We start from the raw sequence: 24,950 nt of genomic DNA on the forward strand, positions 1-24,950 counted from the left end.
ATTTTGCAGGCATTAAACAAAACAAAAAAGCCAAACATCATTATCAAAACTGCCACATTTACTGTATCACAGTTATGGGTAAATATCCACACTATTAAATATCCACATTATTAAATATCCACATTATTTTCCTTTCAAAAATGATGCATAGGCATGCTTTCTGAGCTTACAAGCAATGAGGTTTGGGGGTGGGGGTGGCAAAAATGAAACAAATCAAACTCAGAGAATTTACTGTTCATCTTAAATAAGTCCCACTTCTAAAGACACCTAGGAATTGTATATTGTTGACTGTAGCCATAGTAGTCTTTCACTACACGTTATCGTACTACTGAGTAATAAAGACAACAGGCCGGGCGCGGTGGCGCACGCTGGTAATCCTAGCACTTTGGGTGGCGGAGGCAGGCTGATCACGAAGTCAAGGGATGAAGACTATTCTGGCCAACATGGTGAAACTTCGTCTCTACTAAAAATACAAAAATTAGCTGGGCGTAGTGAGGCACACCTGTAGTCCCAGCTACTCAGGAAGCTGAGGCAGGAGAATTGCTTGAACCCGGGGGGCAGAGGTTGCAGTGAACCAAGATCGCGCCGCTGCACTACAGCCAGGCAACACAGCGAGACTCCGTCACACACACACAAATAATAATAATAATAATAATAATAATAATAATAATAATAATACCCCTACCAATAACAATATAGCAAAGAGATAAAAGCAAACATCCTAGGTAGGGGGTGTTTAACATATGCCAAGGGCTGTGCTAAGAGTTCTTCATGCATTAATCTTTTAGCCTTCTCAACAATCCTGTGAGGTGTTGTAATTCCCTCCCTTTTTTTTTTTTTTTGATGTGGAAAGAGAGGCTTACTAACTTGCTCATGGTCATTCATCTGTTAATCAGTAAAGCCTACTCAACCACACTTAAACAAACGGGTGTTCAGAGGTGACCCAACTGAATCAGAAATGCCCTATATTTCCTGCCAAACAGCCTCATATCGAATGTCAAATTAATTAGATAACGTCAATTCATTTTCAGTTTTTAAAGATGCGACTATTTCTTTTTTTTCCTTTTTCTTTTCTTTTTTTTTTTTTGAGACAGAGTCCTGCTCTGTCACCCAGGCTGGAGTGCAGTGGCGCGATCTCGGTTCACCGCAAGCTCCGCCTCTCGGGTTCACGCCATTCTCCTGCCTCAGCCTCCCAAGTAGCTGGGACTACAGGCGCCGGCCACCACGCCCGGCTAATTTTTATGTATTTTTTAGTAGAGACGCGGTTTCACTGTGTTAGCCAGGCTGATCTCGATCTCCTGACCTCGTGATCCACCCACCTCGGCCTCCCAAAGGACTATTTCTTTTTTATTGTTGTTACTTGTAAATGCACAGCTCCATGCTATTACGTGATTATCCCTGTTGAAAACAAGGCAACGACGGCTTCTACAGTTTACAAATGTAGTATACATACATTGGAAGAGGCTGAGATACTAAAGACCAGTACTGACAAAGTAAAATGCAATCAGTATGACCTTGAAATAGAGACTTTAAAGAAATACAAGCATAAATGATTATGTTACCCATTAGCACCTCAACTTTAAATGGCGTTTTCTTCATCACCTCCCCAAAAACAACAAAGCATATCTTTAGTCTGTTTCTCTCCGATGAACCAATGAAGAAAACATGTATTTCCACAGGGAAAACCAGTCCCGAAAATGCTTTTTCTGGAGGATCACATAATGTAAAAAGAAGGCTCTTCTGTGTAATCCTTGGGGAACTATACCAGAACAGCTTTCCCACCGGGAAGCCACTACTCACCCCCACTTCTGTGGTACAAAAGAATCACTATCAATCATCTCCTTTTGTTTAGTTGTATTAGGAAGCAGCAAATTAGGTCAAGGAGATGATATTTTCATAGAAGACACTTTGCTATTATTTCCCAGGACATACACTGCTCCCAATTACTTAATGATTATGATGCATGGAATAAATACAACCAATCACATTCATCCAAAGAAATGATAATTTCATAAGATACACAGGTGCCACTCCACTTATTTAATATGTGGCAAAGGATAACTAGAACCAATGGAACAAAATGCCTGAAATCTTTTACCAACATACCACTACATAGATGTCTACCTATTCCTTACAATAAAATAATCCTGAACAAATCAAATAAACGTTTAAAAAAAAAAACCATGGAAGTAGTAGAAGAAAATGTGGGTGACTGTATTTATAACCCTGGAGTGGAAAGACATTTTAAAACATAACATAAAACTCAAAACTCTTAAAGACACTGATAAATTTGATTGAACAGAACTATCTTTATAGTGAAAATACCTATAAAAATTAAAAATGCAAGGAGAAACTAAAAAAGTCTATTTGTTGTGAAAAAAGGATAAGCCTATTAATATACAAAGAGTTCTTACGAATCAATGAAAGAGGTAAACTAAGTAGAAAAACATGAGCAAGGGTTACACTAAAGCTTTAATAATTGTGTAAAAAGACACACAAATGACTAATTAACCTACAAAAGATGCTAAACTTCATAAGTGATGAAGGAAATGCAAAACATCAAAGACCTATCAGGTTTCATGTGTCAGAATGGCAAAATGTTACAATTTCAGAAAACTGAGTATCAGCAAGGAGAAACAGACAATCTTTTGATGAGAATGAAAACTGGTCCTCTAGCTTTTAGGGAGAGCAGTTTGGCAATCTATATCAAAACTAAAAATTCACAACCTTTTACCTAGCAATTCTATTTCTAGAAATTTGTCCTATAATTATATAAGCACAAGTAAACATAGTATGTTGAACAAAAATTTTCAGTGCAGTTCTCTTTGCCAGAAAAATGTACCCCCTCCACATACACACACCTAGAAGCTTAAACATCCATTAATGGGAAATCTTACTAATTTGATTATGGTATGTTCATACAGTACCACAGTCATCCAAAATAGTTATACAGATTGAGCATCTCTAATCCTAAAATCCAAAACCTAAAATGCTCAAAAATCCCAAACTTTTTTTTTGAGACGGAGTCTCGCTCTGTCGCCCAGGCTGGAGTGCAATGGCGCGATCCAGGCTCACTGCAACCTCCGCCTTCCGGGTTCACGCCGTTCTCCTGCCTCAGCCTCCAGACTAGCTGGGACTACAGGCGCCCGCCACCACACCGGGCTAATTTTTTGTATTTTGTTTAGTAGAGACAGGGTTTCACCATGTTAGTCAGGATGGTCTCAATCTCCTGACCTCGTGATCCGCCCGCCTTGGCCTCCCAAAGTGCTGGGATTACAGGCGTGAGCCACCACACCCGGCCTATCCCAAACTTTTTGAGTGTCAATATGATACCACAAATGGAAAATTCCACACCTGAATGTGACAGGTCACAATCAAAACACAGACACACAATACAAAGATTATCAGTATCCCTGAAAGAAAAATAAAATTATCTTCATGCTATATGAACAAGGTGTATATGAAACATAAATGAATTTTATGTTTAGACTTGGTTCCTTTCCCTAAGATATTTCATTATTTAGGGGCAAATATTCCAAAATTCAAAACACTTCTTGTCCCAAGCATTTTGGATAAGGAATACTCAAAGTGTATTTATATGTACTGATATGGAAATTTTGTTAAAATATATTGAGAAATGGGATAGAAAGCAAGTTGCAGATATGCATATATACTATGATTTCATTATATAAAAGGGGCATATATACATTTATTTATACCCACACATATACATATAATTGTAAAAGCAAACACTATTTTTTGTGAGTCTGGATAAGAGAGGAAGATATTTACTTTTCATTTATTAACCCTTTCAAAGAGTTTGAATTATTTTTACTGGGCATATATAATTATTACTTTTAAAAGGACACTAGCACATAGAATCTATTTGTCAAACATCCAAAATATTTGGAGAAAAAAATGTAAGATACTGTAAATCATGCAGGTACATTTAAAACTCAGAAGGGGGCAAATCCGCCCATAATCAGGATGACCAATTCATTTTTCATTTACTTTTGGTACCTTGTATGTGAAAAGTCCCAGCATATAAATATATTTTTTATTATTGTTTTACATTATAGTATGTTTGCCTAGTGTTAATGGTGAAAGTGTTTTAGTTTGAATTGACTTTTTAAAATAACCTACAGAAAAAAGTTTAGTACTTAGTCAATTTATTTTTCCCATAGCGATCACTAGGTTAAACACTGAATTTTCTGTATTTGCAGTGTTTCTGCATGACGAATTTTGTAATTATCTTGGCCTCCACATTCCAAACAGCTTTGTGGTTTCATTTACATGAAATGTGAGTTTCCTTTTCTTGCCTCAACTGAATCTTTAATTATGAGCTGAACCATAATTATAAAAAGTTATGAGTTGAAAAATTTATCCTTCAAAATTCACACTGACAAACTCAAAGACAGAAATAGCTTAAGCAAGCAATTTATACATAAGTTTACTTCTCTGTAAAGTGGGTGGTTATCTGCTGCATATGAAAGCACTCAGTCCAACCAGCCATGCTCCTGATGGTAGAAGCATCTCAAGAAATGAATCTCACATCTCAAGTCTTTAGTAATGTTGTTCCCAAAGATGCTTTAAGCCCAGGGACAAACAGAACTGTGTGAACCTAACTACTAATGATCACAGGGTGTCCAATCAACATGAAAATAAAAATAACTAATAGAAGATACATAAGTTAATGATCCAAAATAACTATATATCTGTTTCTAGGAAGGATGGTTAATGGGATCAAATCAATCAAGGCTGACTGGTTTTACCAGATAATATAGGTGTGGCCCAAAATAACTCAAATTGTTAAATAAGGTTCTATCTGAGAATAAATAGTAACTTTGAACTGAGTATGCATACAATTACTTTTGGACCCAAGTGAAACTTTAATAGTAGGAAAATGGAAAATGCATGTAACCAACTACCTTAAGAATACAGACAGGCTGGGTGCAGTGGCTCATGCCTGTAATCCCAGCACTTTGGGAGGCTGAGGTGGGTGGATCACCAGAGGTCAGGAGTTCAAGACCAGCCTGACCAACATAGTGAAACCCTATCTCTACCAAAAATATAAAAATTAGCTGGGCATGGTGGCAGGTGCCTGTAATCCCAACTACTCAGGAGGCTGAGGCAGGAGAATCAATTGAACTCTGGGAGGTGGAGGTTGGAGTGAGCAAAGATTGCGCCATTGTACTCTAGCCTGGGCAACAGAGCAAGACTCCGTCTCATTCATAAATAAATAAATAAATAAATAAATAAATAAAGCATACAGACAGTCCCCAACTTACGATGATTTTACTTAAGGTTTTTTGACTTTATGATGGTGGGAAAGCGATACGCATTCAGTAGAAACAGTACTTTGGGTACCCATACAACCATTGTCTTTTTCACTTTCAATACAGTAGTCAATAAATTGCATGAGATACTCAACACTTTATTATAAAACAGCTTTGTATTAAGATAATTTTGACCAACTAATGGCTAATGTAAGTGTTCTGAGCACATATAAGGTAGGCGAGGCTAAGCTATGATGTTTGGTAGGTTTAGGGGTATTAAATGCATTTTCAACTTACAATACCTTCAACTTATGACAGGCTTAACCGAGGCATAACCCCATTGCAAGTTGAGGAGCATCTATATTTTTGGTTGATGCTTTTTAAAAACGCCATACTATATTGTAGTACATAGTTTTATTTGAAACTGATACCAGGTATTTTTCATTATCTGTTACTATATATTCAATTTTTCATTATCTCTTGGGTGAATTTTTAAATGATTGAGTTTGAAGGGGCCAGCAGAGCTCTTCTAGTCCAACCACTGTCTTGTAGGCAGAAAACTGTCATTTTAACTCCCTACATCTCTCAAATGAACAGGATGAAAAAGGAGCCTTTATGCACTGTGTCAATCAGCTGTACTGGGTTATTGGACAGAAATATGTTAGGGGCCAACTGCCCAAAATGTCCTGACTGCTTGGCAAGTGGGACCGAGCAACCACGTCCTTTCATAGTAATTAGGAAGCAGACTCAAGGGCTGCTGCTGGTGACAACAATCAAGGCCCCCATGTCCTCTGCAGCACAGGGGCACAATCCAGCTCCCTCAGGAAGGGCATCATGAATTAATTAAGACTAGCAAATGCCACAAGTAATATTTATGAAAAAAAACTCATCTGCTTTCTTATAAAAGAAAATGCTATTCTTATCATTTCATGGATATAGCACAAAGTATCAAGACATGAACTTACTGAGTCTGGAAGTGGAAAAGCAACATACCTACATTCAAGATAAAGTTTTATGCTCTGCTAAGTCATATCTAGCTGCTTATTTTGGACTCAAGAAAATAGCATTACAGATAGTCAATTTATTGCCACAGGAAAGCCAACCAAGCTATACTTAGTCTCCACTCAACAGAACAGTATTCTGATCTTTTCTGGCAGGATTAAAGACTGAATTCTGATGATAACAGCTACTATGAGAAACTCGGAGTTGCAGAGCTGGTGAATATTCATGAAGTTTTCTTACTATAATGGCCCTTGGCAGGGAGGATGGAAGGGATGTGTACTTTTGAATGATCTAAGAAGCTTGGAGTTTATCTATCAGACTTGACTCTAGAATTTCAAATCCTAAATTAAGAGAAAAATTCACTTTTCACTGAAATTGATAAAGTATATTAGGAAAAATGCTCAAGATTCTGAAGCTAAAATCACTATGTAGATATTTCTCTCCACCTCATAGGGAAAATGTTGGGTATCTCTGGTGTGTAAACAGCTGGCAGTGAGCTTCCACCCTGCTCTGCTTTTGTGTCTTACACACTATACTCTGGGCAGAGCAAGAGGATATCTTGGTCCCCAGAGATGCAGAGTGAGAGATGCCTCTGAGATCAGGTCCCTTGAGTAAAAGTTTCCAAGGCCCTGCTCCACCTCATGAACACTAAACACCTTTCTATTTTATCACTCACACCCCAAATTAAAATAAGAATGATCTGAATGTCATCACTGACTTGCCAGAAATGCAGGCACATGAGCAGGTTAATTCTAAGAAAGCAACCCAAGGCTAAGGCTTTCATTTTCTAATACTAATTAAAAGAATTTCAAATAGCACCACAGAAAGACTTCTTGAAGGGATATAAGGGAGAGATTCTGTTTACAAGTCCTTTTAGTCCTTTTAGAGCACCTGAAAATTAGAACCTGGAGGAAGAGAAGGCCAGTGAGAAGGGTAACAGAAAATCATGTGCAAAAATGACTTGGTGCTCTGGGGATGGGGAACTGGTGGGAAGAGCTGTGCCTCAACTCTGGAGAGCTGAAAGTCAGGACCCTAGTTCATTTGTTTACTATTTTCCAAACGAAAATAACTTTATCATATTCTGGTTTTTTAAAATACATGTTTATTGTTAAAAAAAAAAAAAAAAAAGCAGGGTCAGGACAAGGACAGCAAAGAAAGGCATTTTTTAAAATAATTATCGAGAAATACCCTAGAGTAAGCCCTTGCTGTTTCTCCAGCCTCACTTCTTTTTGTACATTTTATATACACATATATAAAGTGTGACATAAATCAGACCATATAACTTTTTTTGTAACCAGATTTTGGCACTTAGTACATCTTATTCATGGATCCAACAATTATTTATTGAGAGCGTGCTATGGTGAGCACTTTAAAATGTGCCAGGGGTAAAGCTGACAACTATACAAGCATGTGACCTTCCAGTCAGGATGGTGCGTGAGTTCAAAATTTGCACCCTTCCCCAGTAGAAACTATAATAATGGAAGCTTTAAAAAATACAGATAGTTATCCCCATGGGTCAGGAATGGAACAAACATACACAGCAGCTTGAAGTTCAAACACAGTCAGAAGTAGCTACCAAGAAATAGGATCTTCAGGATCACTGAGACCAGCAGTTTGAGACCAGCCTGGGCAAGACCTCATCTCTACAAAAGTTAAAACAAGGACAAAAAAAAACAAACTTGGCCAGGCATTGTGGTGCATGCATGTAGTCCCAGCCACTTGGGAGACTGAGGTGGGAGGATCACTTGAGCTCAGGAGTTCGAGGCTGCCATGAGCTGTGATCATGCCACCACTGCTCTCTAGCCTGGGCAACAGAATGAGATCCCCGACTCAAGAAAAGAAAAAGAAAAACCTTCCGGGGCACATTTATTTGTAAACCATTCCAGAGGATAGAAAAGAGATGTAAAGCTCCCTAATTCATTCCATATGGTTAGCATAATCCTTATAGCAAACTGCACAAATAAAACACCAGGAAAATTTAAAAAAAAAAAAAAAAAGGAAAAAGAAATAGGATCTTCAATGTAATCGGACTATCAATCCAGGTGTGGCAAGACAAAAGCCAGCCAGAGAGTGTGAAATGGGGGTTGGGGTTCCCCGTGAACAAAAGGAGACAGAAGAAGCTTTTCCAGCTGTGGGCCTCCTGCTAATAAATGAAGCTATTCTACTGTTGAAACATTAGCCACAGAACCTGGACCAAATTCACTGAAGGCTCAGTATCTGGATTTGTGATATACCAAATAATAGCTTGAGATAGAAATTTGGGCCTTGCATTTGTTTCTGGATTTGGGGACCCAGGGCAAGGTAACTATAGTACCACTAGATAGAAAGCAGTTGGTTTAGAGAAAAGAAACAAGAGCATCACAAAACACAAATACCTTCCACTCTTGATGAACTTGGATAGGAAGTTAGACTGAAATGGAGGAAACCACCGAACAAAATGACCACTAGGTGAATTCACCCAGAAAGAAATGAAAATAATAAAGCAAGCTAAAAATGACTTATTTTTAACAGCTTTCTTGAGTGATAACTGACATGCAATAAAGTACAAAGTATACAACAATCAAGACAGTGAACATAACCATCACCATTATAATTTTATATTCACTAATACCTCACTATTTTGATTACAGTAGCTTCATAGTAAGTCTTGAAATCAGAGTATTAGCCCTCCAACTTTATTCATTTTCAAAGTTGTTTTGACTATTCTAAGGTCCTTTATATTTCATGTAAATTTTAAAGCTAGTTGATCAATCTCTACAAAAAATGTCTGCTGGGATTTTGACTGGGACCACATTGAGTTTACACATCAATTTTGGGAGAACTAGCATCTTAACAATATTGAGCCTTCCCGCTCCTGAACCAGGTATATCTCTCCACATATGTAGAAGTCCTTTAATTTCTCTAAGCAATGTTTTGTGGTTTCCATACCTTTTGTTAGATTTTCCCCTAATATTTCATATTTTTATGCTATTGCAAAACGCATTACTTATTTCAATTTCAAATTGTCCATTGCCAGAAATAAAATAGATTTTTTTGCATATTGATTTTGTTTACTGCAATGTGGACAGACTTCTTTATTTAATTTCTAGTAGCTTTTTGTTGATTCAATTGAATTTTCAACATAGACATCATGTCATCTATGGATAAAGACAGTTGTACTACTTCTTTTCCAATCTGGATGATTTTTAATTATTTTTCTTGTTTGATTGCACTGGCAGGGACCTCTAATACAATGGCAAATGGAAGCAGTGAAAGCAAACATCTCTGTTTGTGTTTCAGATCTTAGGTAGAAAGCGTTAAGGCTTCCACCATTAAGTATAATGCTAACTGTAGATTTTTCAGAGATGTGCTTTACCAGGTTTCATCAGAAATAAATGTTAGATTTTTACCAAGTACATTTCTGTCTCTATTGAAACAATGAAATAGTTTTCCTTTCTTAGCTTGCTAATGTATATATTACTTGATTGATTTTTAAATATTAAACCAATCCTGCATTACTGGGATAAATCCCTCTTGGCCATGGTATATTTATTCTTTCAATATATGGTTAGATTCAATTTGCTAAAATTTTGTTTAAATTTTTGCATCTATGGTCATACAGGATATTGGTAGTTTTCTTTTCTTGTACCATCTTTGGTTTCTGGTATCAGGGTAATGCTAGCCTCTAGAATGAGTTGGGAAACAGAGCTTCTTCAATTTTCTGGGAAAGATTTTGTAAATTTGGTTATTATTTCTGAAATATTTCACTGAATTTACCACTGAAGCTATCTGGCACTGGAGGCTTCCTTATGGAAACATTTTAAACTAAAAATTCTATTTTTTAATAGACACAGGGTTATTCAGGTTGTTTTTTTCTTGAGTGAGTTTAATAGTTTGTACCTTTCAAGAAAGTTTTCCATTTCATCTAAGTTCTTTCATTGATTGGCATAAAGCTATTTATAATATTCCCTTATTCCTTTTAATATCTGTAGAATTTGTAGAGATGTCTCTCCATATTCTTCTCTCATTCCTGATACAGGCAAGTAGTGTCTTTTTTCCCTGATTAGTATGGCAATGGGTTTATCAATTTTGTTGACCATCTCAAAGAATTGGGTTTTGATTTTACTTATGTTCTCCACTGTTTTCCTAGTTCCTTATTTTTGATTTGATTTCTGTAATCTTTATTAGTCCCTTTCTTCTACTTACGTTGGGTTTAATTTGCTCTTCTTTTTCTAGTCTTTTAAGGTAGAAACTAAGGTAATTGATTTGAGACCTTTCCCAAACTTTTCTAAAAGAGGAGTCATGTGCTGTAAATCTCCCTCCCCCTAAGTACTGTTTTAGGAGCATCCCACAAATTCTCATATGTAGTGCTTTCACTTTCATTCAGTTCAAGATATTCTTTTCGATTTTTAATTTGACCCATGACTCTTTAGGAGTGTGTTAGTTTCAAATATTTGGGGATCTTCCAAGTATCTTTTTTAAATTGGCTTTTAATTCCATTATGGTGAGTTCTACATATTTATCAATTTATAATTTCTCTATATTACAAAATATATAATATTTACATATGTATAAATTTATGTATACTTTATATGACTTGAATATTCTTAAGTTTGAGGCTTGTTTTATCGTGCAAAATATGGTATATCTTGGTAAAATGTTCAGTGTGCGCTTCCAATAATGTATTTCCTTCTTTTGCTGGGTGCTCTGTGAATGGCAATCAGGTAAAGTTAGGTGGTAGTGTTGCTCAAGGCTACCATTCCCTTGCTGATTTTCTTTCATCTCTTCTATCAATTATTAACAAACGGGCACTGAAATCTTTTATTTAAGCTGCATATTTGTCTTTTTACCCTTTTGCTTCTAATAGTTGTTTTGCTTCATGTGGTTTGTTTAGCACTGTTAGGTCTATTTGATTGACTATCGTATCATTAGGACATGACCTTCTTTATCTCTGGCAACAGTTTTGCTCTGAAATCTACTTTGTCTAATATTTTAAAATAGCCACTCCAGCTTTCTTTTGATTAGTGTAACCATGGTGCATCTTCTTCCATTCTTTTACCTTTAACCTACATGTGTCTTTATAGCTAAGATATGCTTCTTGTAAGCAGTATATAGTTGGGTCTTGCTTTCTTGCCCCCAAAATGGGGAAAAATGGAAAAAAGGCCCCAAAGTGGACTGTTAGCTGATGGGAAAGGGGTATCACTGATTTATTAGAGAGAGAGTATTAGGGAGCCAGGACAGGACAGAGGAGGTAGAAATTTAATATCATTGTTTGTGCTAAGGAAAAACGGGTAACATAAGATAGAAATGGGGACTTAAAATGTTTTGTGATTATAAAAGTGGTAAATCTGTAAAGGTACCTTAAAGAAAATCTGAAATACGCAGATGATTTAAAGAAGAAAACAGAAATCACATGTAGTTCTACCACCCAGAGTAAACCACTGCAAGCATTTCAGTGTATGTGTGTCCTATATTATACAGAAGTAGTCCTCACTTTGCATGGTATTAAAGGACCACAAAAATGACCATGCAAAGTTAAAACATGCAAAATAATCTTAATAATGAATGGAGAAATTAGGTTGCTCCATGATCTTTAAAGTTTCTTTTCAAAATATTTAAAACCTTATTATTATTATTAGAGACAGAGTCTCTGTCACACAGGCTGGAGTGTAGTGGTGTCACCATAGCTCACTGTTACCTTGAACTCCTGGGCTCAAGTGATCCTCCCACCTCAGTCTCCCAAAGCACTGGGACTACAGACATGAGCCACTGCACCTGGTCCTTATTGTTGATTATAAATGTGTACTTACGTGTTGAGGAATAAAAAACAGTAAATTTAATATTTATTTAGTACTCTGTAACGTGAAACATTAAAAACATGGAGAATTAAAGCATCTTATTTCTTTGTAAAACACTTATCAAGAGTAGTTTGAATAGTGCTTCTCTTCTTCTCATCATATAATTTATGACATAGAAACAGCACACTTTCTATGACTTGGTGAACTGTCATCCTGCTTTCTAATATGGCTCAACTCTCAACATTTTATCCTTTGCACTTTCAGTGTCATGGACATTTCCCAGAGCTCCTTTAATGTGAAGATTTTTGCCTGTATCACTTCCTCTGGAACATCTTTATCCTTTTCATCAAAACCACCCTTGTCATTTATGCAGATAAGTTCATTCTCACCAGGTTTCTCTGGCTACATACCCAGAGCTTCTCAAATGGTAGTAGTTTCAATAATCCTACAGTCAGCTCTTTCTTCTGTAACTCCACTTACATTCCTTTCAAATTTCACTTCCCACATTATCATTTTTAATTTATTTGATTCACCTTCATCTTTGCTGGACAATTCCTTCTTTCACTTATCAACTTTTGTAAAATGCTACACAGACTTATCACTAGGGGACAAAGAGGCAACCCAACTATATGCTTTGCTGCCTGTGCATAAAATAAATAATGGATGCATAGTAAGCAAATGCTGACAGACTTTGAATAAGTGAAATGACTAGTCACTAATGGTGATGTGCACCTGTTATTTACATAGTGATTTCTTGACTGAAGAGCTAATGGCAAAGTTTATACTTTCATGTAATTACTTCCAGTTAACATACCATGGTAACTAAACTTTGGACCATGTTGTTAAGGGGACTGACATTATTAATATTAAACTGAAATTTGTGCATATTAGAACCATGCAAAGACTGTCTCTCTGCTCTTTGTATATATATCGTGATACATATTATAAAATGAACCTAATTTTAAATATATATTTTCAATAAATATATTTTTCAATTATATACACATTTTAAAATACACTTTTAACTAGCATGTTAAGCAATATATTCTAATATTTAACTTATGTTACAAATATTTTCCCATATGATTAAATATGCTCAGGAAACATGATATTGTGAGTAGCACAATATCTACCCTAAGAATCTACCCTAAGAATTGAATTTAATTAATTTCCAATTGAGCAACATATAGATTAACAAAGTTTTCAGTACTAAAAATAATGCTGTAAAGTATATCTGTTTATACAAAATAATTCTGTACTTCTGATTATTACCTATGCATAAATTTCTATAAGTGGAATGACGACATTAAAAGGCATAAATAATCATAAGGCTTTCGATACAGACCAATTAATATTTTAATTTACCAATATATATTCCCACAGCCAGCTTCCAACTTTGAAGATTGGAAAAGTAAAAACTTGCATTTCATTTTTTTCTCATTTAATTTTCCCTTATTACTAATGAACTTATGTGTTTGGTGAAATTAACATTGGGCATTTGTATTTCTGCTGTTGTGAATTACCTGCTTAATTCTTTTGACCACTTTTCTCTTGGGGGTATCTCTTTCTAAATGATTTAAGTGACTTCTCTCTCTCTCTCTCTCTCTCTCTCTCTCTGTATATATATAATCTCCTTACAGATACTATGTCTCATAATGAATTTGTTATAAGTTGTGGAACTCAAAAGACCATCAGTTATTACCATTCTGCCCAATTCTCACATCAGTGAGATGTATAAATATAATGTTATACTAAAATTCTGGTGTGTTTTTACCTGGTTCTAATATCTAACCTTGAGATTTGGTTATTAGAGTCTAATTATTAAGACTCAATTTCCTCATTGATGCACATAAAAACTTAACCATTAATTATGCAAAAGTATTCTTATCCTACATTTAAAAATCAAGGCAAGAAAATAAAATGGCCAGGCGCGGTGGCTCACATCTGTAATCCCAGCACTTTGAAAGGCCGAGGTGGACGGATCACAAAGTCAGGAGTTTGAGATCAACCTGGCCAGTATGGTGAAATCCCATCTCTACTTTAAAAAGATACAATCTCACCACTCCTATTCAACATAGTGTTGGAAGTTCTGGCCAGGGCAATCAGGCAGGAGAAAGAAATAAAGGGTATTCAATTAAGAAAAGAGGAATTCAAATTGTCCCTGTTTGAAGATGACATGATTGTATATCTAGAAAACCCCATTGTCTCAGCCCAAAATCTCCTTAAGCTGATAAGCAACCTCAGCGAAGTCTCAGGATACAAAATCAATGTGCAAAAATCACAAGCATTCTTATACACCAATAACAGACAAACAGAGAGCCAAATCAGGAGTGAACTCCCATTCACAATTGCTTCAAAAAGGATAAAATACTTAGGAATCCAACTTACAAGGGATGTGAAGGACCTCTTCAAGGAGAACTACAAACCACTGCTCAAGGAAATAAAAAAGGATACAAACAAATGGAAGAACATTCCATGCTCATGGGTAGGAAGAATCAATATCGTGAAAATGGCCATACTGCCCAAGGTAATTTATAGATTCAATGCCATCCCCATCAAGCTACCAATGACTTTCTTCACAGAATTGGAAAAAACAACTTTCAAGTTCATATGGAACCAAAAAAGAGCCTGCATCGCCAAGTCAATCCTAAGCCAAAAGAACAAAGCTGGAGGCATCATGCTACCTGACTTCAAACTATGCTACAAGGCTACAGTAACCAAAACAGCATGGTACTGGTACCAAAACAGAGATATAGATCAATGGAACAGAACAGAGCCCTCAGAAATAATGCCGCATATCTACAACCATCTGATCTTTGACAAACCTGACAAAAACAAGAAATGGGGAAAGGATCCCCTATTTAATAAATGGTGCTGGGGAAACTGGCTAGCCATATGGAGAAAGCTGAAACTGGATCCCTTCCTTACACCTTACACAAAAATTAATTCAAGATGGATTAAAGACTTACATGTTAGACCTAAAACCATAAAAACCCTAGAAGAAAACCTAGGCAATACCATTCAGGACATAGGCATGGGCAAGGACTTCATGTCTAAAACACCAAAAGCAATGGCAACAAAAGACAAAATTGACAAATGGGATCTCATTAAACTAAAGAGCTTCTGCACAGCAAAAGAAACCACCATCAGAGTGAACAGGCAACCTACAAAATGGGAGAAAATTTTCGCAACCTACTCATCTGACAAAGGGCTAATATCAAGAATCTACAATGAACTCAAACAAATTTACAAGAAAAAAACAAACAACCCCATCAAAAAGTGGGAGAAGGATATGAACAGACACTTCTCAAAAGAAGACATTTATGCAGCCAAAACACACATGAAAAAAATGCTCATCATCACTGGCCATCAGAGAAATGCAAATCAAAACCACAATGAGATACCATCTCACACCAGTTAGAATGGCAATCATTAAAAAGTCAGGAAACAACAGGTGCCGAAGAGGATGTGGAGAAATAGGAACATTTTTACACTGTTGGTGGGAATGTAAACTAGTTCAACCATTGTGGAAGTCAGTGTGGCGATTCCTCAGGGATCTAGAACTAGAAATACCATTTGACCCAGCCATCCCTTTACTGGGTATATACCCAAAGGATTATAAATCATGCTGCCATAAAGACACATGCACACATATGTTTACTGAGGCACTATTCACAATAGCAAAGACTTGGAACCAAGCCAAATGTCTAACAATGATAGACTGTATTAAGAAAATGTGGCACATATACACCATGGAATACTATGCAGCCATAAAAAAGGATGAGTTCATGTCCTTTGTAGGGACATGGATGAAGCTGGAAACCATCATTCTCAGCAAACTATCGCAGGGACAAAAAAAACAAACACCGCAAGTTCTCACTGATGGGTGTGAATTGAACAATGAGAACACATGGACACAGGAAGGGGAATATCACACACCGGGGCCTGTTGTGGGGTGGGGGGAGGGTGGAGGGATAGCATTAGGAGATATACCTAATGTTAAATGATGAGTTAATGGGTGCAGCACACCAACATGGCACATGTATATATATGTAACAAACCTGTACGTTGTGCACATGTACCATAAAACTTAAAGCATAATAAAAGAATAGAAATAAAAATAAAATAAAATAAAAATAAAAACGTACCAAAAAAAAAATTAGCCGGGCATGGTGGCGTGTGCCTGTAATCCTAGCTACTTGGGAGGTTGAGGCAGGAGAATTGCTTGAACCCGGGAGGTGGAGGTTGCAGTTAGCCGAGATGGCACCACTGCACTCCAGCCCGGGTGACAGAGCGAGACTCTGTCTCAAAAAAAAAAAAAAAAAAAAAAAAAAGACAAGACACCTTTAAAAACCTTTTAATTAGCTAGACTTTGCTTTTGGCATGACCCACGTTTCACAGTTCCACATTCAATTCTTTCTTCAACCTCTCTAACTCCCATCTCTCGCCTATCGGTCTGTCCCATTGCCCTAGTCTTGTTCTTTCAGTGAAATGTATTCATATTAAAGCATTACTTCTGAAAGAGGGCTTGAAAAGAAGACAGGAGAATGCTGGAGTGTGGATCATCATGGGTGAGAATGACTTTCTGGAGGAGCTCTTTTCTGGCACACCTCATATCCCGCCACATAAATGCATGTTTTTTTACTCAACCTAGAGCAGGCAGCCTTGGCCAATAACAAAATGCCATTAAAAAAACATATTGCTACATGACAGCCACTCAAGACAAAGGCATAAAAAGTAATGGGAGAAAGCAGATCTGCAGTTCCGGGGCCTTTCTTCCCTAAAGCTAGACAAATCTAAACATTGAATGTCAGAGCCCTGGGGACTTTCCTGTTAGAAAAGGGTAATGATGCTGTGGCATCTATTTTGACTGCTCAGAGGCTTCGTGCTCACCAATGCTGCCGGGATCCTAGGGCTCGGTTTTTATGTATTGCGGTGGCTATAAGCACAGCAATTTTCCAGAAATACATGGGTCCCTGGTTAATGTCATCTGCCCTTTTGGATCCTTTCTTGTCAATCAAAGATAGGGTTTGGGTTGTTTCAGAAACACAGGCTGCCCAATGAATGTCAGGGCTAACCCTGCTAAGAAGAGGGCAACTTCTAGAGAGAAGTCTAAATGATGCAATTTTAAAGCAAGCGAGCCGAGCCAGTGAGCCATCACCACCACCACCTCCTACTAGAGGCCAGGCAGGACAGCAGGAGTGCTGCGGACAAATTCTCTGAATAAATTTGTACTTGAATCTATGTCTTACCAGACTTAGTCTATGCTACATTTGCTAGCTCTTTACTTCCTTTCCTACACAAATATAATTAAATCCCTTCTCTGTAACAGGCCCCAAAGTGAAGCAAACCGATATGGCTCCTGCCTTCCTAGGGTTTACAGCTTAGTGGGAGGGACAGAGACATAAACAAGTGTTTTTGGTACCAGGTAACAGGAAGTGTTAGGACTAGGAGGCTGGGGATGCTATGGGAGCCGGGGTCTGAGGCACGCTAAACCAGTTTTCGTGGGTGTAACCAGCTTCCTAAAGTAAGTGACAATGAAGCCAAGACCTGAAAGCCAAGGAAAAGTCAGCAAAATGAAAGGAGAATGAGCTAAGGGAAATCAAGGCATGTTTAAAGAACTGAAAAGAGTTGGTGCACAGAACATAGAATATGACTAGAAAAACCAAGAGAAAGTGCTAGAAACATAAGAAAGGGTCCAATTATCTATGATTTTGTAAGCCTGTTCAGAAGTTAGAGTTTATTAAGTCAATGCATGACAGGATGAGTTTTGTATTTTGGAAAGAACACTCTGACTGTACCATGGAGAAGACAGTAGAGGGAGCAAGAACAGGCAGAGAATCCAGGTGGAAGGCTCCTGTGGTCCTGTAAGGGCAGGAGGATGGTGGTGACCTTCATGATAGTGCTCATGGCAACGAGGAGAAAATGGCAGTCTGTAACGTGTGATGTGTGATGTGTTTGGGTGGCAGAACTGCCAGGGCTTGATGAAACGGGGCAGGATGGCGAAGGAAAAGACAAGAATGATGTCCACGTTCTTGGCTTGGGCAATTGAGTGGAAGTTAGTTTCATTCACTGACAGACAAAGCACAAAAGGAGGAACAGTTTTATTTTTATTATTTTATTTTTTCAAGATGGAGTCTCACTCTGTCACCCAGGCTGGAGTGCAACGGCACCATCTCAGCTCACTGCAACCTCCGCCTCCTGGTTTCTCGGCTCACTGCAACCTCTGCCTCCTGGTTTCAAGCAATTCTCCTGCCTCAGTCTCCCAAGTAGTTGGGACTACAGGCATGCGCCACCATGCCTGGTTAATTTTTGTATTTTTAGTAGATACAGGGTTTCACCATACTGGCCAGGCTGGTCTCAAACTCCTGACCTCAAGTGATCTGCCCACCTCAGCCTCCCAAAGTGCTGGGATTACAGTTGTGAGCCACCATGCCCGGCCCCAAGTTTTATTTAAAAATTTTTTTTTTAGAGACCAGGTCTCACTATGTTGCCCAGGCTGGTCTTGAACTCCTGGGCTCAAGCGATCCTCTTGCCTTGGCCTTCTAAAGTAGGAACAGTTTTCAGGAGGTACTTATGAGTTTGTTTTAACCCTGTTGAATCTGAGGTACTTATGGCGTATCCAGTGGAAATGTCCAGAAGGCAGATGGGCGGTGGCTACTCAGAAAGAGGGGTATCATCTTTAAATGGAGTACTGACTCCTTAGAGGAGCTGCTTAGTATAGAACTAATAAAATCCCCAATCTCTTGGGTTTGACTTGCAAAAAGACTACTACTACCCCTGGGCTCCATCACCATAAACCATAATCACCATAAAGCATTACCTGTATTTCATGCCACTGACTGTGAAGTCAGCAGGAAACAGAAGGAGAACAGGCAAGTACAAGTCCACCACCATTTGAAAAGAAAAATCTGCTCATGTACTTTGTGAAAGGAAGAAATTTAGTAATAAAAATGGAAAACAGAAATGAACTTTTTCTACATTGTGTTTTATTTTTAATTTATTTTTATGTTAATTTACTTTTTTTTAAAACTGGCACAGTGATCTCAGAAACATGAATTGATAAGAATCATCAGATGTTCAGGCGACAGCTTGGTCTCCCAGTTATCTAGTATAGCCACACTGATACAAGTTGAGGACTGGGTCCTAAATGGACTGTCAAGGACCATCTTTTCAGTGGCCAAAAAAGGCACACATGATTCATGTGAAATAAACAGAACAATATAAATTAGTCTAAATACTGGCACCTTTGATATATAATAAAGAATATTTTTAAAATAATACCATAGGAAATATCTATTTTAATTAAGGGACAAGCAGGCTGTAGCATCATTTCTTATCATAGTTAACTATCTAGTTTAAAAACTTATCTAGAATATATACTTTGGCTTCTCATTTTCTTTCTTTCAGGAATAAAACACTTTGGTCAAATAAGCACCTTGCTTTATCTTTCCTTCAGGAGACAGTCAACTTATTATATCCTATATTAGCCATATCTTATACTATGGTTACCAACTGAGGGTTTGAAGTTCCCCCTGAAATTGAGAACTGCGTGAACTCTGCACATAAGCAAGTCTAGGCATTTTTATGGTAAGAGAATCAAGAATAATCAGATTGTCAAAACAGACTTAGAATCACTGTCTTATATAAACATTTCACTATGGCTCTCCTACAGTGTATATTATAAATATAGGTCATAAATTATAGGTTGACAGGTTTCATATTCTCTTAAGGATAAGTAGGTTTACTTTCATAGGACCATATCTGGAAAAAACCTCAAAAGCTAACAAGTTCATTCTGTTGCCTTTAGGCCAAGTGCTTCCAAAATTATCCAAGTCAGATGAAAACTGAAAGTGTGTTTATTTTTCCCTACGGGAAAGCAATTCCAGCACCTCATTCTGTAACCTATTACATTTTTTATCAACCACTGTAAAATTTATCTTTGGTCTGTATGTGCTCTAGTTTAGGTCCTCAATAGCCTTATTACTACTTTTCTTCACTTTATACACAGCTATAAATGTGTGTTAATCTTTTCCAGAGAAGACATATGGCAGTGTTCTTGTCACAGGCCATTTTTATACGTAATGGTTCCAATGATAAATGTGTATATATTGTACACAATGCAGCCTACACACATCATGCATACATCTAGCCAATATACTAGAACCTAACTGTGATCAAGTTACAAGTAACTGGAGCGCAGTGTCACAAAGAGCTGAGAAAAACCTCTCAGAGGACAATTTTATTCCTTGGGTAATCACCTGCCCTGAACACTGGGTGGCATCACCATTGGGCTGCAGGGCTCTAAGCAGGACAGTGAAAGCTGCAGCTCCAGCAGAATTCCAGGAGAAAGGCGGGAAAACCTCTAAGCAGTGGATAGTATTCAAGGAAACTGGACCCTGTGCTTTTACATATGTAAATATTCAAGGTAAGAAACCAGAAGACATCTGGAAATAAGCAGGGAACAAGAGGGGGCCTTTGGGAGGGACTTACAAACACAAGGGAGGATGTCTATAAAGAAGGTTCCAAGAATCGTCTTGTAAAGAATCCTAAACTGAGCAGAGGGGTAGCATTGGAGGTTGGCTGGGTGAGAGAGACAAAAGAAGCACTTTATGAGGGCAGGAGGGACTATTCCAACAAATCATAGCAAGCAGAGGATAAGGCTAAAAATCAGACATAATATGTGATCAAAGGGGAAATTTTCGAGAAATGACAGTTGATCATTTCTCCCAGGTATCATCTCATTTAATCCTCAGGCTCAGAGACAAAGAGTGCCCCATCCAAGATCACACAGCTGGGCAGCAGCAGAACCAGACATTCAGTCTTGGATTTCTGACTCAAAATCCACAGCTCCTGGCAACCTCTGGCCAGAATCGTATGATATTCCAATTCAAGTAATTGGGGGATAGCACCACGTAGAAAAAAAGTGCTATATGAATTTCAGGAACTATTGGTAGTACAGACTAATAAATTGTCATATTCCTAATATAAGGTTGAACCAAATGAAACTGCTACTTTTGTAGGCCTCAAATGGTCGGATATTGGCAATTTTATGTGATTCAATGTAATATCAAGGAATCAAAAACGGAAGGTGTCAGCCTAAATTTAGAGCCCAAGGTGGTACCCTCTTGTGTTTAAATTTTATAAAAAACAGAAAAAGAATAGTGAGAGAAGAATACATAAAGCATGCTAATAAATATTTAAATGCAAAATCCTCAAATACCAACAAAAACTACCATTTCACATTTAATGTTCTATACTCACCTTCCTCCCTGATTACTGGAATTCCTAAAGCCAGCCTTGTGGGGAATCTTCTGATTTTGATCTTGGTAGATGCATACTGCCGTATTTAATAGACCTCTGTGGCCTACACAGAGCCATCTATCTGCTCCAAGTTCCTGGTTATCTGCTCTTCATCTACATCAGAACCTCCAGAAAGCTCCCTAGGCAGCACCTAGGCCACTCCAGGGTAGAGAATTAAGTCTGCATTTCAAGTTTCATCTACTGCTCCATCCAGGGATTTTTCATTAGGGCCTACAGTATTTGGGTTGTTAGATTAGATTATCTGGAATAGACGCCTGTTCAACAAACAATTCTGAAAGAAGCAGATTCCTCCAGGAGAGGAGATGGGAGTATCTACTCTCTTTCCACTGAGAGTTAAATCCAATCACTCAAACCCAGCAATTAAACAGTGTAATCAGGGCAGCTCTTACAAGGAGTGTAAGCAAACCCAGGTTCATCAGAGCCACTCTGTGTTGGTGTTCCTCACATTTTGAAGACATAATCATTTCTATTTCCTAATTAACTCTGCTAAGTAATTAGATATAACTACATAAAACAGAAGTGTAAAATATTTTGTGCTTCTTAAACAAAAATGCTTTGTGAAGTCTACAAGCATTTTTGTCCATTTATGTGTTTGTCATAAATGGACAAAAAGGTTATCATCCTTAGGATGAAAAGGCAAAAAGTAGCCTCCATTCAGAACATCTTAAACTATGAAAAATGCATCTGGAAATGACTCCATGTTCGAGCTAAGAATATCTTCCATTCATAAAGACCTCCAAAACTTAAAAACAGCCAAAACAGAATGGCTTTTGAATCAAAACATTGTATTTCAGTGAGACTATTCCCAAACATGGAATAAAGTTAAGAGTTTAACGTGTTCGCAGTTAATCCAGAGGCCAAGGAGAACGGTGGTAGGGAAAATGTACACTCAGTTCAGACACTGAGCTCTCTTGTATTTTTATCCTTTGTAAGCTTTGGGGTACTTATGTGGAAGGCAAGGATGGGCCTATGTCATAAGGAAAGAAGGGCTAAGTAAGATCAAAGGTAAAGCACTAATAGAATCTAGCTCATTGTCAGCACTGGTTAACAGTGGTGAAATTGCGTTTTTTTGTTTTTTGTTTTTTTGAGACAGGGTCTCACTCTTTCACTCTTTTGCCCAGGCTAGAGTGCAGTGGTGTCATCATTGCTGGCTGCCGCCTCACACTCCTGGGCTCAAGCAATCCTCAAGCCTCAGCCTCCCAAGTAGCTAGAACTACAGGTGTGCACCACCACACCTGGCCAAATTTTAAACATTTTTGTAGAGACGGAGTCCTGCTATGTTGCCTAGGCTAGTCTCAAATGCCAGGACCCAATCGATTCTCCCATCTCGACCACCCAAAGTGCCAGTATTACAGGCATGAGCCACCACACCTGGCCTGTATCAATTTTTACATAGCTATATTTGTTGAACACATACTATATGCCAGGTCCTGTTCATTTAATCCTCAAAATAACTTCATGATCTCATTAGCATTACTAACTTCATTTTACAGATGAAGAAACTGTGGCATCAATAAATTAAGTAACAAATATTGTTAGTTAATATCTATCCAAAGTCACACAGCTGGTAAGTGGCAGAGCTAAATTGAGCCCATGCCCATGAACTCTGCATGCAATACGGTCTTGCATTATTATTGTTATTGTTCACTTTATTTCTTATATTTCATCTTCCATGTAATTTCTAACTTATAATTCCATGGAACATGGATATCATAGAAAAATTCCATTTAAGGAATACTATGCAGCCATAAAAAAGGATGAGTTCATGTCCTTTGTAGGGACATGGATGAAGCTGGAAACCATCATTCTCAGCAAACTATCACAGGGACAAAAAACCAAACACCACATGTTCTCACTCATAGGTGGGAATTGAACAATGAGAACACTTGGATACAGGAAGGGGAACACCACACACTGGGGCCTGTCATGGGGTGGGGGGAGGGGGGAGGGATAGCATTAGGAGATATACCTAATGTAAATGATGACTTAATGGGTGCAGCACACCAACATGGCACATGTATACATATGTAACAAACCTGCACATTGTGCACATGTACCCTAGAACTTAAAGTATAATTAAAAAAAAAAAAAGAAAAAAGAAAAATTCCATTTAAGAAAGGGCAACTAGATGTTCTTAACTAGAAAGATGATAAAATTAGGCCAGGCGTGGTGGCTCACACCTGTAATCCCAGCAATTTGGGAGGCCAAGGCAGGCGGATCACTTGAAGCCAGGAATTTGAGACCGGCCTGGACAATATGGTGAAACCCTGTCTCTATTAAAAATGCAAAAATTAGCTGGGCGTGGTGGTGGGCACCTGTAATCCCAGCTACTTGGGAGGCTGAGGCAGGAGAATTGCTTGAACCTGGTAGGCGGATGCTGCAGTGAGCTGAGATCATGCCACTTCACTCCAGCCTGGGCAAGAGAGCAAGACTTCATCTCAAAAAAAAAAAAAAAAGAAAGAAAAGAAAAGAAAAAAAGATGATAGAATTAATTGGCAAAAATATAAAGTTAAAATTAATTAGGAACAATAATTTGATTTTAAAAGACTGGGACGTTTTGTAGACAGTGAAATTATATGTTTAAAACAGTTTTCTTAATTTTTAATTTTTTGAGATGGAGTCTCGCTTTTTCACCCAGGCTGGAGTGAAGTGGCACGATCTTGGTTCACTGCAACCTCTGCCTCCTGGGTTCAAGTGATTCTCCTGACTCAGCCTCCCGAGTAGCTGGAATTACAGGTGAACACCACCACGCCTGGCTAATTTTTTTTTTGTATTTTTAGTAGAGACGGGGTTTCACCATACTGGTCAGGCTGGTCTCGAACACCTGATTCAAATGATCCACTCACCTTGGTTTCCCAAAGTGCTAGGCTAAAACTGTTTAATACGTCCAAACTCTGAATTTCTGTTGAGCTCTTTTTGTATATTCAATGGTCGTGTATAGTCTTACCTGTTTTTATTTAATTTTGCTTATTTCATTCCATTTCTATTGAGATTGAGGGGGTGGGCCCTAGGTCTGTGTCTGTGCTTTTGCATTTCTGGGGAAGTCCTGCATGCCAAGTCAAACTCTAAAATATCTTTTTGAGAAGAAATTGATTCCCATAGCAATTTCTTCTTTCCTCTTAGAATTCATTTGTTGAATTTTTTACCTCGCATTTGTTAAGAAAGTAATTAGATTTGAGATTTTGCCTTACCTAAATATCTATTTAAATGAATAAGCCACCTGGTTTTAAAATAAAGTAGAGATTTAGTTTTCCAGGCCAAATAATCTTCTGAAAGTTCTTTTGGCTCTAGTTTTGAAGGGAATAAAAATAACATAGAAACTCAAGAGATCAGGAAATTCAAATAAAATTACTTCAACTTCAGTAATGCCCCAAAAGACATACAGGTGAGCTCTTACCAGTGGAATGAGCAGGCTAATCAGGTCTGTCAGAGGTCTGTTGAGCAGCAGCAGGTCTTCTGCAGCCTGAGGGTCCTCTCCTGAGCCAGACTTCTGGGCCTGGAACAGAGAGAAGAGAAATGAAAGACGGTCTTGGTGATTAGTCAGCTTGGCCAAAGGAAACAGGACCACTCC

The 24,950-nt window shown here is 37.9% G+C and overlaps 1 protein-coding gene across 6 annotated transcripts in view; it reads right to left on the reverse strand.

The window, feature by feature from the left end:
* ULK4 (unc-51 like kinase 4) overlaps positions 1 to 24,950 on the reverse strand; it is a 715,505-nt gene that overhangs the window by 184,122 nt on the left and 506,433 nt on the right. For all 6 annotated transcript variants that reach the window (NR_136342.2, NM_001322501.2, NM_017886.4 and 3 more), the window contains one exon: positions 24,777 to 24,875. Coding sequence is in view for 5 of the 6 variants with exons in the window: in NM_001322501.2 (NP_001309430.1) it covers positions 24,777 to 24,875 (99 nt within the window). In the remaining variant the exon portion in view is untranslated. The remainder of the gene's footprint in view (positions 1 to 24,776; positions 24,876 to 24,950) is intronic.

The sequence above is a fragment of the Homo sapiens genome, chromosome 3 (genome assembly GCF_000001405.40).
Source record: "Homo sapiens chromosome 3, GRCh38.p14 Primary Assembly".
NCBI classification, from domain to species: domain Eukaryota; kingdom Metazoa; phylum Chordata; class Mammalia; order Primates; family Hominidae; genus Homo; species Homo sapiens.